This window comes from Homo sapiens, chromosome 16 (genome assembly GCF_000001405.40).
Source record: "Homo sapiens chromosome 16, GRCh38.p14 Primary Assembly".
Classification (NCBI taxonomy): Eukaryota; Metazoa; Chordata; class Mammalia; order Primates; family Hominidae; genus Homo; species Homo sapiens.
Window position 1 is genome coordinate 23,144,997 of NC_000016.10, and position 16,087 is coordinate 23,161,083.

At 47.0% G+C, this 16,087-nt stretch overlaps 1 protein-coding gene across 4 annotated transcripts in view, besides 5 other annotated features; it reads right to left on the bottom strand.

Moving 5' to 3' along the window:
• The window catches only part of USP31 (ubiquitin specific peptidase 31), an 88,047-nt gene extending 83,591 nt beyond the window's left edge, over positions 1-4,456 (bottom strand). For all 4 annotated transcript variants that reach the window (NR_170599.1, NM_001387221.1, NM_020718.4 and 1 more), the window contains exon 1: positions 3,642-4,456. Coding sequence is in view for 3 of the 4 variants with exons in the window: in NM_001387221.1 (NP_001374150.1) it covers positions 3,642-4,274 (633 nt within the window). In the remaining variant the exon portion in view is untranslated. The remainder of the gene's footprint in view (positions 1-3,641) is intronic.
• Positions 3,597-3,826: a silencer, noted in NCBI's record as "silent region_7271". NCBI's record gives its function as "represses an Ori minimal core promoter by ATAC-STARR-seq in GM12878 lymphoblastoid cells {active_cell/tissue: GM12878}" and the evidence as "EXISTENCE:reporter gene assay evidence [ECO:0000049][PMID:35858748]".
• Positions 3,957-4,056: a silencer, noted in NCBI's record as "silent region_7272". NCBI's record gives its function as "represses an Ori minimal core promoter by ATAC-STARR-seq in GM12878 lymphoblastoid cells {active_cell/tissue: GM12878}" and the evidence as "EXISTENCE:reporter gene assay evidence [ECO:0000049][PMID:35858748]".
• Positions 4,157-4,206: a silencer, noted in NCBI's record as "silent region_7273". NCBI's record gives its function as "represses an Ori minimal core promoter by ATAC-STARR-seq in GM12878 lymphoblastoid cells {active_cell/tissue: GM12878}" and the evidence as "EXISTENCE:reporter gene assay evidence [ECO:0000049][PMID:35858748]".
• Positions 4,357-4,456: a silencer, noted in NCBI's record as "silent region_7274". NCBI's record gives its function as "represses an Ori minimal core promoter by ATAC-STARR-seq in GM12878 lymphoblastoid cells {active_cell/tissue: GM12878}" and the evidence as "EXISTENCE:reporter gene assay evidence [ECO:0000049][PMID:35858748]".
• Positions 4,637-4,856: an enhancer, noted in NCBI's record as "active region_10576". NCBI's record gives its function as "activates an Ori minimal core promoter by ATAC-STARR-seq in GM12878 lymphoblastoid cells {active_cell/tissue: GM12878}" and the evidence as "EXISTENCE:reporter gene assay evidence [ECO:0000049][PMID:35858748]".

Consider the following 16,087-nt stretch of genomic DNA (forward strand, 5'->3'; position numbering starts at 1 on the left):
TTCACAGTGAGTTTCCAACACTCTTCTCCCAGGCTTCCTGCACCCCCACTGCTCTCTATGGTGCAGCCAGCCACTAAATGTCTATTCCCCAAAACCACACGCCCTTTCATGCAACTCCACCACTTCCTTGCCCTGCAAATTTCTATTCATCTTTCAGAACACTGCTCAGGAGCCACCTTTTTGGTAATGCTTTCCTTGTTCCTTGATGCCTGCTATACACAGGATGGTCCTTGAGCCAAAAGCACTGGCATCACCAGGGAGCTTGTTAGAAATGCAGAATCTTGGGCACCGCTCCAGCTCTACCGAATCTCAATTTCCTTTGTAGCAAGATCCCCAGGTGAATTATGTGCACACTGACGCATGAGAAGCGCTGTCTCAGGGAACTTCCTAGATCCTACTCGACTCAGCTCTTCATAGCTCCCTGGGAGGTAAACCCCTCCTTTACTCATCTCCTCTGTGAAGACAGGAAAACCCAAATGCCCACCCTCCAGCCTCCGTGACAGCCAATTGACATGGTTATAGCCAATGAAATATCAGCAGAAGCCTGCTGAGGGGGCTTCTGGAAGAATTTTTATTTCCCTAATGACTTCCTGCCGTCCTGGGTAGAATGCCAGGTGCAGTGGCTGCCATCACTGGACAACCATGAGGTGACAAACCTAAGAACAAAAAGCCAATGATAGCTAAAAAGACAACAGGTGGAAATACAGAAATGGTCTGAATCCTTGTTGGGCCCAACGAGCCACTGAACCATAGAACCATCCACCTCCGGAATCACTGTGTGTGCCAATTGCCAATTGCAACGTTTTCATTGCTTAAGGCACTATCATTAGGGATTTTCCTTTCTTGGGCTGAAGGCATTCCTAACTGATTAAGTAAGCCTTCAATAAATGGGAGGTGAATGAATGAATGTAGAGTGAAACCTACTAAAGGTTCAGGAGATTACTTTTAAAAAGCCAGGCCTCTAAGAATCTGTTCATGTCTGCCAAAGCATGCCTATAAATCAGTCTCTGTACTTCTAGAATTATTGACCCATTTCTGTTCACAGCTTAATGGATAAAAAAGTGAACACAAACTCATAAAAAGCAATGGAAATGTTCACATACAAAGATGCTGTAGAAACTGATTTTCACATTTTGGAAAAGAGGAGAAAACCAAACTTAAATACTAGGCTCTGACCTCGAAAAGTTTACAAATGCTGTGGCTACTTACAGGCAATTGTAAGCAAAGAGGGGCAGTGTGGGGTGGGGGGCGGGGGGTGGACCTACAGTAGTCAGTTCTCCTGATCATTCTCCCTTTCTAATTTTGAGATCTCAGCTGGGCACGGTGGCTCACGCCTGTAATCTCAGCACTTGGGGAGGCCGAGGCAGGTGGATCAAAAATTAACTGGGCATGTAGCGGGCGCCTGTAGTCCCAGCTACCTGGGAGGCTGAGACAGGAGAATTGCTTGATTGAACACAGGAGGCAGAGGTTGCAGTGGGCCGAGATCAGGCCACTGCCCTCCAGCCTGGGCGACAGAGTGAGACTCCATCTCAAAAATAATAATAATAATAATAATTTTGAGATCACTGACATAGATCTTTTTTTCCAGTCCCTATCTCAGTCAAGTACTTCCATTCAAATTGCCAAGATCAAACAGCAACGATTTTTTTCCAAGAAAAACAGCATTGAGCAGCATAAGATGTAAGTAAAAAGTATTAAACGGGGAGAGATGCACACTGGCCATGTAGTTCGTCAGCAAGAAAGCAGGACCTTAACAAAGCAGATCCTCAGCTAGATGACCTTTTCATATTTTAACAAAATCATCTCCTTTTACTTAAATGTTGTTATAAAGAAGCTTTATAGCACCAATGGGAAACCAGTACCTTTTGCCATGAATTGAAGACAAATGGAAACCCAATAAAAACATAACCTTATTAAATTCTAGCTACTGTTACCTGCCAATGCTTCTAGACTTGAAGCTTGTTCTGTTTAAAAAAAAAAAAAAAAATGGGTGGGGGGTGAACAAGAGGTATTAAAAACAGGCTAACATCAAGCTGAGACTTCGTCCTGGGCAAGATTAGGATAGGAAAAAAAAAAAGGAATTAACCTTCTCCCTGTGTGACTTCACGCTGTTTTTGTTTTGTTTTGTTTTTACAGATAGAGTTTCCTGTTGCCCAGGCTGGAGTGCAATGGCACGATCTCGGCTCACTGCAACGTCCGCCTCCCAGGTTCAAGCAATTCTCCTGCCTCAGCCTCCTGAGTAGCCAGGATAACAGGCATGAACCACCACGCCCGTCTAATTTTGTATTTTTAGTAGAGATGGGGTTTCTCCATGTTGGTCAGGCTGGTCTCGAACCCCCGGACCTCAGGTGATCCACCCGCCTTGGCCTCCCAAAGTGCTAGGATTACAGGCATGAGCCACTGCGCCCCGCCCGATTCCATGCTGTTTAATACCATATTCATGTCCCACCTGAAAGTATCCCTTACACAATCTCACATCATGTTCCCCTTCTGCTTAGAGTAACCGCCCAATTTCTTAGTGCATCCTAAATGGTCCCATACCATCCGGTCCCAGCCCACCACTCGGCTCTCAAATCTCACCCTCTCACTACACTTGCAGCCCCACCAGCAAACAGCAAAGGAGGGCTTGGCCAAGGGCCATACATACCCCCAGGGATGTATAGCTCACCCCTGTAATCCCAGCACTTTGGGAGGCCAAAGCGGGGAGAGTGGCTTGAGGACAAGAGTTCAAGACCAGTCTGGGCAACACAGCAAAACCCCCGTCTCTACAAAAGTGTTTTAAAAATAAAAAATAGGTAGGTATGGTGGTGTGTGTCTGTAGTCCCAGCTATTAAATACTCTGGAAGGTGAGGCGGGAGGATTGCTTGAGCCCAGGAGTTTGAGGCTATGTGAGCACTGCACTCCAGCCTGGGCAACAGAGCAAGACCCTGTCTCTAAAAATAAAATAAAAATAAAAAGTAGCCTGTCAGCACATCAATCACAGCAGCAGGTTTTTCTTTCTTCAAACCACTATCTGATATTATCTCGTTAACTTCTTCAAGTCTTTAATAACAAAAATAATAGCAGCAAATACACATGATATGGAAGTATTTTACTTATCAGGTTGAACCCTATAAAAGTGCCAATCTGTAAATAAAAAACGGTTAAATATGGGTAATTCCACAGTGTTCGATTTAATATATTAACTTGTTTGCAGCTCACAACCACCTTACAAAGTAGGTCCCCCAGATGAAGAAACTGTAAGAACAGAGAGGCTGCTTAACTTACCCGACGTCACATTGCTAGTAAGTGGCAGAACCAGGATTTGAACCCATGCTCAACACTCCCACCCCACAAAAATGCAAGTTCCATGAAGGCGGATAGTCTTGTTCATTGCAACGTCACTCCCATTGCCTATTATCACAGAGTATGGGCACGTATGTAGTAAGTTCTCAATAAATACATGTTTGAGTGAGTGAGTGAGTGAATAAATGAATGAATGAATGAATCTCCTTAAAATCACTGGTCGACTGCCCAGACCACTCGGAGCAACCAATGCAGAAGCCTGCCGGGCCAAGAGGAACCGAGGGAAGGAAGACCTGGGCGGGCAGGTGCCCCAGGGGCTCGGGGTGCAGTGGGGGCGCGGCGGCGCGCGGGCTCACCTTGAAGTCGCGGCTGTGCTGCGGGGTGTACTCCAGGGTCCAGAGGGCCCGCACCAGGTGCGCCAGCTGCTCAGTGACCTCGCCCTGGCCCTGCGCGCCGCGGCCCGCAGGCTGCTCCGGGTCAGGCGAGGGCTCGGGCCGCCCCGCCCGGTACTGGCCCAGCGCCAGGTACTCGGCGAAGAGCTCGGTGTTGCTGAGGCACTGCAGCGTGGCGTTCATGAAGCACGTGTTGCCGTGGTTGCGGAGCCCCGCCACGCCGGGCACCGGCTCGGCGGCGCAAGCGGGCGGCGCGGGAGAGGCGGGCGGCGGCGGGCACGGCGGCGGCGTGGGCGCGGCGGCCGGCCCGGGCGGGAAGCAGCTGCGGAGGCCGCCGCGGTCTGGGGCGGCGCCCTCAGAGCTAAGGTGCGAGAGCGTGGACAGCGTCTTGAGAACGCGGCTCATGAAGCTGCCCACCGAGCGTGCAGAGGAGGGCGAGGAGGGCGAGGAAGGCGCGGCCGGCCCGGACGCCCCGGGGCCCCCCGCGCCGCCGCCGCCAGCGCGGCCGCTCCGAAACAGCCGCTTGCTGAAGGAGCGCTTCTCCTTCCCGCTCGCCGCCGCCGGCGGCCCGGACCCAGGCGCCGTTACCTTGGACATGGCGGCGGCCGCAGACACTCATCACCGCGCCCGCCCGCCCGGCCCGCGGCCCCGCCACGGCCGCCGCCGCATCCCGCAGCGCCGCGCCTCACCGGGCCCGGGGGCTCGACGCCCCACACACCTCAAAGCGCAGCCGAGCCAGCGAGCGAGCGGCGGCCGGCGGGGCCAGCGGGCGCGCGCGCGGTCCGCCCAGCTGAGCCGCTCACGTGACGTGCCTCCCGGCGCCGCCCGCCCGGCGCTGAAGCCGCCTCGGCCGCCATGTTCACTGTGGGACGGTAGCTGCCTCTCCAGCCGGACGCGATGCCTGGAGGCTGCGGGCGCGGTCCTGCTGCGTGAAGCCCGAGGGAGGCCATGTCTAGTGTGGGCGCCGTCCCGGCTTGGAGGAAAAGGCTGGGCTCCCGTTGGATGGTGGATCCCCGGGGTGGGTCTCTGTCTTTGCTGGTCAGATGGCAGAGGCGGGAACGTGCAGGAATCAGGATGCTGTCAGTTACCAGACCGTGCAAGAGCTGGTGGACATGGCCCTGACAGGTCCTGGGCAAGTCAGCCCTGTCTGGCTCCCAAGGGACGTTGCAGATACCTACCCTCTGGGTGCCAGCGGAGCGCAGTCACAGACCCTGGCACGTCCCAGCGGGCTTTTCTTCCTGGCTGCACCTTGGAGTCCCAGCGAAACGCTGTTATCATAACTACTTTCCTTTTCATTCCAGCCTTTAAAACTCCTCCGGGCTCTCCCATCATTCATCATTCCATTCATTCATTCACTCACTCATTCATTCAGCAGTTACTGGGGATATTGCAAAGAATTAAACCTATTAAATTAGAATCAAATGTCATATCCCCAGCGGATTAAATTAGCACGGTTTCTACCTGCCCTCTTGCAGCTTACATTCCTACTGGGTGTTTACAATAGCTGTTGTGTTCCACACATTATGCCAAGCATGCAATATTTTCTTTAATCTTTAATTCACCGTCTTTGAGATTGGTACAGTTCTTATCTGATTCAAACCCAAGTTTTATTTACAACCCCTATACTTGACCTCTAAACCAAAGGTCACGAATCCACAAATATCACAGGTCACAAACCCACAAATGAGTGAAGAATCCTGGTGTTTGAATCATCATATTGACTTTCAAGTGACTTGGGTCTCAGTGTTGGGGGAAATATAAGGAATGATGGGGACTATAGCAGACTTCAAATTAACATCTTTCTAAAGAGGTGGCTGCCACTCAGCTCCAGCCAGTTGTTCCCATGTGAGAACAGGAGCTCAGCGTTACCAGATCATCTGATGTTTTAAGAGAAGGCAGAAATCCTATTTTTAAACGTTGGTTCCATTAAAAAAAAAATAGTGCAGGGAGCAAAAAATAGTACATCTTTGGGATGCCTTTAGTCCAAAATCAACTAGTATATGACCTCCTCTCTATAGGCTCCCCTCTGCTAAAAGGGCTAGTCTGAGTCCTGAGGCAGAAGAGAGAAATCAGAGAAGGGAGAGCCCTTCCTCCTTTTTAAAACATGAAGGCCACCTTACACCACGTTTCAAAGTAAATGGTTTTTACCTTTGACCTCCCTCCCCAATGTAAGTAGGGCTCTATGATGACATCTCCAGGGTGCTCTGCACTGTCCCTAATCGGCTCCACTCTCCTCTTAGTCAAAATTCTTATCTGGACACCAGGAAGAAAGCCATCTGATTATTCACACTAAAATGTGAATGCAATGGCCCTCAACTTCTGGGCAGTTTGATCTAGACTCGAGGGCCTTTGCTGGAGCCGTTCCCTCTCCCTTGAACCTTTCCTTAGCTAACTTAGAACCTTTCTACTTAGCTAACTTCCCCTCATCCTTAAAGTCCCACCTTAGATATCACCCCCTCCAGGAGATGTCCCTTCCACAGGCCCTCTTGGCACCTCTCATTCATGACACTGACTTGACCATATTGCAATTCAGTTTACAATCATCACCTTCACTAATATGTGGGCTTCAACCCAGTAGAGACCCATCTTACTCATTATTCGGTACCCAGTAAGGTAGCCATTATATAACAGGTTGATTATTTGGCAACTTTATACCTAAACAATGTCGTGTGTGTGTGTGTGTGTGTGTGTGTGTGTGTGTGTGTGTATGTGTGTGTGATGGAGTCTCACTCTAACAACCAGGCTGGAGTGCAGTGGCGGGATCTCAGCTCACCTGCAACCCCCATCTCCTGGGTTCAAGCAATTCTCCTGCCTCAGACTCCTGAGTAGCTGGGATTACAGGCACTTGCCAGCACACCTGGCTAATTTTTGTTTTTTGTTTTTTGTTTTGTTTTGTTTTGTGAGCAGCAGCAAGATTTATTGTGAAGAGCAAAAGAATAAAGCTTCCACAGCGTAGAAGGGGACCCGAGCGTGTTGCCCTAATTTTTGTATTTTTAGTAGAGACGGGGTTTCACCATGTTGGCCAGGCTGGTCTCGAACTCCTGACCTCAAGTGATCCACCTGTCTCAGCCTCCCGAAGTGCTGGGATTACAGGCATGAGGCACCGCGCCCGGCCTCTAAACAATATCTGAACTTCTTGGTGGGATACCTAAGAACTGCCTTCCCAGTCTGGGCCCCTCTCACTAAGCTTACAGGTCTTATAGGTCTCCACTGAGCCTCAAAGTTTGACACAGGCTTGAAAAAATTCCTCATTGGAATGTTCAGATGATCATTCTTAAAGACTCACCTTGAACATTCTGTAGTGAATCTTTCATTGTCCCTCTCTGTACCACCCCTTACCCCTAAGCTCGGGAAACGTAAATTAGAAACAACAGTGCAGTGAATATTATCATGACCTATACCTTGTCCATCATGTAGCTATCTCCTTAGGCTGAAACCTTGGATCAAAGGGTATGCGTATTCCATATATGACACCTATTGTCAAGCTGACCCCCAGAAAGGTTTTATCCTGTCAGCAACTAATGGGAAATGCACATTTCCCAATCCCAACATACTGTTGAGTTTTCCAGTCTTTTTCACATTGACAAGTTTGATGAACAAAAGATGGCATATTAATGCACTTTTTGTTTGTATGAGTAAGGTTGAACATCATGTGCCAGTCTCTCTGCTATCCAACATCTCAACCAACTTCCTGTCTGCAAGGGATACCAAATTAGGCAGGACCACTCAAGATCCCACTATGAAAACTGGGTAGGGTGGCAGGGAGCAGGTATTCCCCTTCCTACCCCTGGAAGCTAGAGCCCAGGAACATGACCTAAAAAAGACCACCGCCGGGTGCAGTGGCTCATGCCTGTAATCTCAGCACAGGCAGACAGAGACGGGAAGAGTTTGAGACCAGGCTGGGCAACATCACGAGATCCCGTCTCTAAAAAAATAAATAAATAAGCCTGGTGTGGTGGTGCACTTCTGTAGTCCCAGCTACTCAGGAGGCTGAGGCGGAAGGATTACTTGAGCCTAGGAGGTGGAGGCTGCAATGAGCTATGATCGTGCCACTGCCCTCCAGCCTGGGTGACAGAGCAAGACCAACTATATGTTCCTACCTAGACTTTGGCTCTAGAAGTATTGATACACGGTTCGTTGGAGATAATGCAGTGAATTAATGAATCTAGCAGCTATATATTTAGCAGTGTGGCAGTACGGTGGTGTACAGTGTGGGGGTGGTAGCAGCAAGTGTCCAGCTGCTACTCTAGTGGCAAGTTCTTACTGGTGTCTGTGTCCCTGGGTTTCTGCCCAAGCCTGTTTCTCTGGCTCTGTTCTTTCTGTGAGCTAACCTGATAGGTTTCCTGTAAATCCTTTATTGGGGAAACAAACCAGTGTCAGTTTCTGCTGTTTGCAATCAAGAAAACAACTAGGAATACCTTTTAATTAGCGATTTTATTTTTACTGGTGTGATTCACCTGCACACACCATTTGCCCATTATTCTTTTCGGTGTATTCCTTTATAGATATTATCTCGTAGAAGTTTTTTGTTTGTTTGTTTTGTTTTTGAGATGGAGTCTCACTCCATCGCCCAGGCTAGAGTGCAGTGACATGATCTCAGCTCACTGCAACCTCTGCCTCTTGGGTTCAGGCCATTGTCGTGCCTCAGCCTCCCAAGTAGCTGGGATTACAGGCATGTACCACCACGCCCAGCTGATTTTGTACTATTATTATTATTATTATTATTATTTTGAGACAGAGTCTTGCTCTGTCGCCAGGCTGGAGTGCAGTGGCACGATCTCAGCTCACTGCAACCTCTGCCTCCCGGGTTCAAGCGACTCTCCTGCCTCAGCCTCCCAAGTAGCTGGGACTACAGGCACGCACCACCACACCCAGCTAATTTTTGTATTTTTAGTAGAGACGGGGTTTCACCATGTTGGCCAGGATAGTCTCGATCTCTTAACCTCGTGATCCGCCCGCCTCGGCCTCCCAAAGTGCTGGATTACAGTCGTGAGACACTGCGCCCAGCCAAATTTTTGTATTTTTAATAGAGACAGGGTTTCACCATGTTGGCCAGGCTGGTCTTGAGCTCATGACCTCAAATGATCCGTCTGCCTTGGCCTCCCAAAGTGCTGGGATTACAGGCATGAGCCACTACACCTGGTCCATAAAATTATTTTCTATATAAATTATATTATTTTTCAGTCTATACCATTCCCTACTTCCCTTTCAACCATGTTTACAGTGTTTTCATATCATATACAGAACTTAAATTATTATTTTTATTTTATTATTATTTTTGAGACAGGGTCTCACTCCATCATCCAGACTGGAGTGCAGTGGTGTGATCATGGCTCACTGCAGCCTTGACTTCCCGGGCTCAAGCGATCCTCCCACCTCAGCCTCCTCAGTAGCTGGGATTACAGGTGCATGCCACCACGCCCAGCTAACTTTTTGTATTTTTAGCAGAGACAGGGTTTCATCACGTTATCTAGGCTGGTCGCAAACTCCTAGGGTCAAGCCATCCACCCACCCAAGCCATCCACCCGCCTCAGCCTCCCAAAGTGCTAGGATTACAGGTGTAAGCCACTAAGCCCAGCCTAAATTATTTTATATAGTGAAACAGATTAGTCTTTTTCATAAAGATTTACAATATTTTTGACATACTTAGCCTTCCCCCACTCCAAGATCATAAGAATATTCATCTGTATTTTAATTTAGTGCAGTTCTGGGTTTTTTTCTTATTATTATGCTCTCCATCTGGAATTTATTTTTGCATGAGAAATGAGATAGGGATCTTGCCTTTTCTGCATGCTTCATGGCTAGCCAATTGTCTCAGCACCATTTTTAAATGTAATTTTCCCACTACTTTAAAATGCTGCTTTTATCACCTATTAAATGCCCCGTATATTTAAGATTTTTAAAAATTCTGTTCTATCCCATTGATAAGCCTCTGTATTCCAGGATAGCATAGGTTTAGAATATGCTGAAATGTTTGATAGAGCATTATCTCCTAGTATTTTATTATCTGTCTGTTTGCTTATTCTCTCAAATGAATTTAATCCTTTAGGGGGGTTAATTTATATAGATTAAGTGAGGGAAAACTGGCATCACCACAATATTTATCTTCTCATCTGAGAATAAAGTCTGTCTTCAAAAAATTATACAAGGGCTTTTAATGCCCCTCCCAGTACTATAGTTTCCTCCCATAGGTCTTGCATAATACTAATAAGTTTATTCCTATTGGTTGCTATTATGAATGGGATATTTTATGTCATTATATTTTCTGTTGTTTGTCTACAGGAAAAAAAATATTTTTGTAACCAGCCACCTTGATGTACTTTAGTTCTTTCTCATAATTTTCAGTTGATCCTATTGGGTTTCTCAGGAATTTATATCAACACATGAGATAAAAACCTCGCCACTTTGTTTATAATAGTTGTACCTCATCTTTTTTTTTCTCTTGTCTAATTGCCCTTCCAGAATTTTGTCTGTAATAGTAAGGAGAGTAGGAAAGCCTGCATTGTTTCTGCCTTTAATAGCATTTCATCCAGTGCTTTACCATTAAGCATGCTTGCTTTTGGTTTGAGATATATATTATTTATTGCGTTAAAGTGGTATCCATGTATTCCTACTTCAGGAAGGGTTATTATCAGGAATTGGTCTTGAATTTTATCAAATGCCTTCTGGGCATCAACAGAGATGAGCCTTTGCATTTTTCTCCTTTGACCTGTATACCCATCGTAAGTTCTTAGTTGCAGACAACATAAATGACTTTTGCTAACTTAAGCAGAAAAGGAGATCTTTAGAAGGATATCAACAGCTCACATAACTGCTAGAAAAGCTTCAGAATCAGACTTAGGAAACCAAGGAAGACAGTACATAGCCAGGACTCTGCTCCAGAAAATGCTGCTTAAGATGTCACTGTTGGCGCCGTCGGTGAAGCTGGCGCCACCTTCAGACAGTGGTAGCCGCACCACTTGCCTCTTAGTTCTGCTGTAGCCACTGTGTAACCTTGAATAACTTCCAAATGTCTCTGAACTTTTGCTTTCCTATCTGATAGAGTTTAGATATTTTTCCCCTCCAAATCTTATGTTGAAATGTGATCCCTGGCTGGGTGCAGTGGCAGACACCTGTAATCCCAACACTTTGGAGGCCAAAGGCGGGAAGATTGCTTGAGCCCAGAGATTTAAGACCAGCCTGGGCAACATAGAGGGATCCCATCTGTACAAAAAAATAAAAAAAATAGCCAGGCATGGTGGTGCACACCTGTAGGCACAGCTACTTGGGAGGCTGAGGTGGGAGAATCACCTGAGCTCAGGTAGTCAAGGCTGCAGTGAACCGTGATCATGCTGCTGCACTCCAGCCTGGGTGACAAGAGCAAGACCCTGTCTCAAAAAAGAAGAGAATAGAAGAGTCGAGAAGGGAAGGGAAGACAGGAAGGGAAAGGAAGGGAATGGAAGGGAAGGGGAGGGGAGGGGAGGGGAGGGGAAGGGAGGGAAAAGAGAAGAGAAGGGAAGGGAAGGGAAGGGAAGGGAAGGGAAGGGAAGGGAAGGAAAGGGAAAGGAAGGGAAAAGAAAAGAAAAAAGAAAAGAAAAGAAAAGAGATCCAGGAAAGGAGAAATAGGGGAGGAGGGAGAGGAGAGGGGAGGAAAGGGTCCCTGATGTTGAAGGCGGGTCCTAGTGGGAGGTGTTTGAGTCACGGGAGCAGATCCCTCATGAATGGCTTGGTGTAGTCCTCGAAGTAATGAGTGAGTTCTCACTCTGTTGGTTCACAGGAGATCCAATTGTTAAAAAGAGCCTGGCACCTCCTCCCTTCCTTCTTGCTCCCTTTCTTGCCATGTGACACAGCTGAGTCCCTTTCACCTTCTGCCATAAGTGGAAGCATCAGACTGGCACGGTGCTTCTTGTACAGCCTGCAGAACCATGAGCCAAAAGAAACTCTTTTCTTTGTAAATTACCCAGTTTTGGGTATTCCTTTATAACAATGCAAAATGGACCAATATAATACCTTCAGCATTCTTAGCTCAAAATGGAAGCATCCATTTGGTTGGGCCCTAGGTCCTAGGTCTGGTCACCAGCAGCTGGAAAGTAGGGAAGGAACCATCACCTTCCTCCAGCTTCCATAGTGGGAGACAAAGCTGGGGACAGGCTGGACGCAATGGCTCAGGCTTGTAATCCCAGCACTTTGGGAGGCGGAGGCGGGAGGATCCACTTGAGGCCGGGAGTTACAGGTTGCAGTGAGCTGTGATTGCGCGGCTGCACTCCAGCCTAGGCGACAGAGCAAGATCCTATCTCAAAAAAAAAAAAATAGATTTTGGGGGTGTCACAGTGAAAATACAAAGTATTTTCCATGCTAGGGGAAGACAACAGAAAATAAGCAAACACACAAATACTGTGTGTAATAAAATTTCAGCTACTGTTAATTGCTTGGAAGAAAAACAAAACCAAGAAAAGAGACAGGAAGTGGTGGGCAGAGAGTGTGTTATGTAGAATGTTGAAGATAGCCTCTCTGAGGAAGGATATTTGAGCAGGGAACTGAATGAGGTGTGGCAACAAGCACCTATGGAAATCTGGGGACCATCCAGACAGAGGAAAGAGGAACTGCAAAAGGCCCAAGTTGGAAATAAGTCTGGCCTGTACCAAGAAGAACAAGCAGATCAGAGTGGCTGCCATGAACTGAGCAAAGCAGGAAATGGCCAAAGATGAGGTGGAGGAGACAGGCAAAGGATCAGAAAATGTAAGACCTCGTTCCAGGAGTTTGAGACCACCCTGGGCAACATGGTAAAACCCCCATTTCTAAATTTTTTTTTTTTTTTGAGACAGGGTCTTGCTCTTTCACCCAGGCTGGAGTGCAGTGGCACAATCACGGCTCACTGCAGCCTCTACCTCCCAGGCTCAAGCAATCCTCCCACCTAAGCTTCCTGAGTAGCTGGAACTATAGGTGCATGTCACCACACCCTGCTAATTTTTTGTATTCTTTTGTAGAGACAGGATTTTGCCATGGTGCCAGGCTGGTCTCGAACTCCTGAGCTCAAGTGATCCTCCCACCTCCGCTTCCCAAAGTGCTGGGATTACAGGCATGAGCCACCATGCCTGGCAGGCAAAAACAAAACAAAACAAAACAAAACAAGAAAAAGAGATTTGAAAAAATTAGTCAGGTGTGGCGGCTAATTAAAAAAAAAAAAAAAACTATAGTCCCAACTACGTGGGAGGCTGAGGCAGGAAGACTTCTTGAGCCCAAGAATTTGAGGCTTCAGTGAGCTATGATCGCACTGCACTCCAGCCTGCAGACAGAGCAAGAAATAAAAATAAATCACGCCTGTAATCCCAGCACTTTGGGAGGCCAACGCAGGCAGATCACGAGGTCAGGAGTTCAAGACCAGCCTGGCCAATATGGTGAAAACCCATCTTTACCAAAAATACAAAAATTAGCCTGGTGCGGTGGCAGGTACTTGTAATCCCGGCTACTCGGGAGGCTGTTCCCGGCTGTGGGCTATTATCTTTAACAGTGAAATACTAAAAGGTTGTGCTCGTGAGGTGGGGCTTTTCAACTCAGAGGACCAAATGTAAGATGTTCAGAAGGAAGCCAGCCATTTGTGTCAGATCCTCAAATGTCACCGCATGCAGACCTTTTCAGAGCCTTGTCTATTTCTCCTGAAAAGAATGCCCAATTTCCTGCTGTCGCCTACACCAGTCTGGGACCAAAAGGCAGAAATAGATTAGGTAGGGGCTGATGTCTTAATCTTTAGGTTGCAATCTTCTATTGGTTCCCCAGTTTTCAGAATTATTTTTCTTTCCAGCCCTTTGCTAGGTAAAGGACTTGCTTGCTGAATTTGGAGCCTTGCTTCTCTGAACTTGGAGCTCTCTAGTTTAATGTCTTTGTTGACTGCACTTCATGCTGGAGGGCTGGGGCTAGAAGTGTAATTGTCTGGATGTGTGTGATAAGTGAGGTTCCCTAAGGGTCTAAACATACAGACTTTCAACTAGGGTCCCTATGTTAAGCCCCATGCTTAAGCTTACCCAGCTTTTGCTGCATCTGATGCCTCCAATTCCCGACTATGTTAGTTGGGGCTGTGTGATGGTTAATACCGAGTGTCAACTTGATTGGATTGAAGGATGCAAAGTATTGTTCCTGGGTGTGTCTGTGAGGGTGTTGCCAAAAGAGATTAATATTTGATTCAGTGGACTGGGAGAGGCAGACCCACCCTCAATCTGGGTGGGCACCATCTAGTCAGCTGCCAGTGTGGTTAGAATAAAAGCAGGCCGCCGAACGTGGAAGGACTTGACTTGCTGAGTCTTCCGGCCTTCATCTTTCTCCCGTGCTGGATGCTTCCTGCCCTTGAATATCAGACTCCAAGTTTTTCGGCTTTTGGACTCTTGGACTTACGCCAGTGGTTTGCCAGGGGCTCTTGGGCCTTAGGCCACAGACCGAAGGCTTCACTATCAGCTTCCCAATTTTTGAGGTTTTGGGACTTGGACTGGCTTCCTGGCTCCTCAGCTTGCAGATGTCCTATTGTGGGATTTCACCTTGTGATCGTATGAGTGAATTCTTAATAAAATCCCTTTCATATACACATCTATCCTATTAGTTCTGTCCCTCTCAAAAACCCTGACTAATGCAGCCTCCCATAACCAAAAATCACAGATCGGGTGGCTTAAACAACAGACATTTATTTTTTCACAATTTAGGAGGCTGAAAGTCTGAGATTAAGGTGTTGGCAGGGTTGATTTCTTCTGAGGCCTCTCTCCCTAGCTTGTAGATGGCCACCTTCTCATCCCCATGTCTTCACATGGTCTTCCCTCTGTGTCTGCGCCCCAATCTCTCTTCTTATAAGGACACCAGTCATATTGGATTATGGCTCACCCAAATGACCTCATTTAACATTAATTTCCTCTTTAAAAACTATCTCCAAGTACAATCATATTCTGAGTTACCAGGGGTTAAGACTTCAACATATACATTTTGGAGGAGGCCAGGCGTGGTGGCTCATGCCTGTAACCCCAGCACTTTGGGAGGCCAAGGCGGGTGGATCACTTGAGGCCAGGAGTTCCAGACCAGCCTGGGCAACATGGCAAAACTCTGTCTCTATTAAAAATACAAAAAAATTAGCTGGGAGTGGTGGCACATGCCTGTAATCCTAGGTACTCAGGAGCCTGAGGCATGAGAATTGCCTCAACCTGGGAGGTGGAGCTTGCAGTGAGCCAAGATCGTGTCACTATACTCCACCCTGGGCAGCAGAGTGAGATTCCGTCTCAAAATAAATAAATAAAGAAAAATAAATGAATAAATTTTGGAGGAACACAATCCAGTCCATAACGCTGACATGTTAGAGACTATGAAGATGTGTGTAAGAGTTAAAGAAAGAGGAAAGAAACACGAAAAGTGGCTCGACAAAGACAGGTTTATTTTGGAGAATAAACCTAAGAGGGGCTTCTGGCTGATTTCTGTCAGGAGCGCTCTCTCTTACAGACTAAGAGCATTTTTCAGTTTTAGGGTGAGAGCTTATTATAGGCTTGTGGGGAGAAGTTCATGGCAGGGCTGGAATTTCTCTGGTCAGAGGGGAGGTTATCTTGGGGCTAACATCTCTGTGGTCAGAGGGGAGGTTATCTCAGGGCTGGCATATCTCTGGTCGAGGAGGGGTTTGGAATGTTTCTGGTCAGAGAAGTCATTTGTGGTTTATGTTCGTGGTGACCTTAGCCATTAGGTTGATGCCCTTTAAAATCAGGCAGTTTTTGATCAAGGGGAAACTTAGAATGGCAGTGCTTGTCCAAGATGGCGATGCTCCTGCTCTGTCAATGTGCATGCTGTTGGCTTCCTCTCTGCAAGTATTTGAGAGTCACAATTCTCAGTACTACTAATATCTTTACCTGACTTCCAGCTTTTTGAAACCTCTTGACATCTCTCTGCTGGATTGTCTGTTATTAACCTGACAGCATTCCCTCCCTCTTCTACAGTGTTCTCGGCATCACAGAATTACATTTTCAAGAATCTCTTTCTTAGAGTTTGCCAATGAGAGGTACTTGCAAAGATTTGGAAGACAAAAGGAAAAGCTGTTCTTTGGCAGCAGTTGTGGGCAGACTGGATGAATAAAACTGCAGACCTGAGGTCTCATTGGCTTTCAGGCATGCTGTTGCAAATGACCCATCTCAGGGCTGTGGGTTGCCAAGAAGACAGTAACTCAGTCTTCACAGAGCTCTTGAGCAGAGATGAGATGAGGGAGACGTGAGTGAGAGAGGGTTGTGCAAGTGCAGGATTGGATGTTGTTTTTACTAAAAATTCGGACATTTTGTTGATCATGGATTTTTTTCACATTGTTTGTTTTTAAAAAATATTGCATTGAAATGTTAATTAGCTGGATTGGTTCTTTCTGCAATGCATGCATAGATCAAAACATCACATGGTACTCCATAAACACATAATTATTCCTT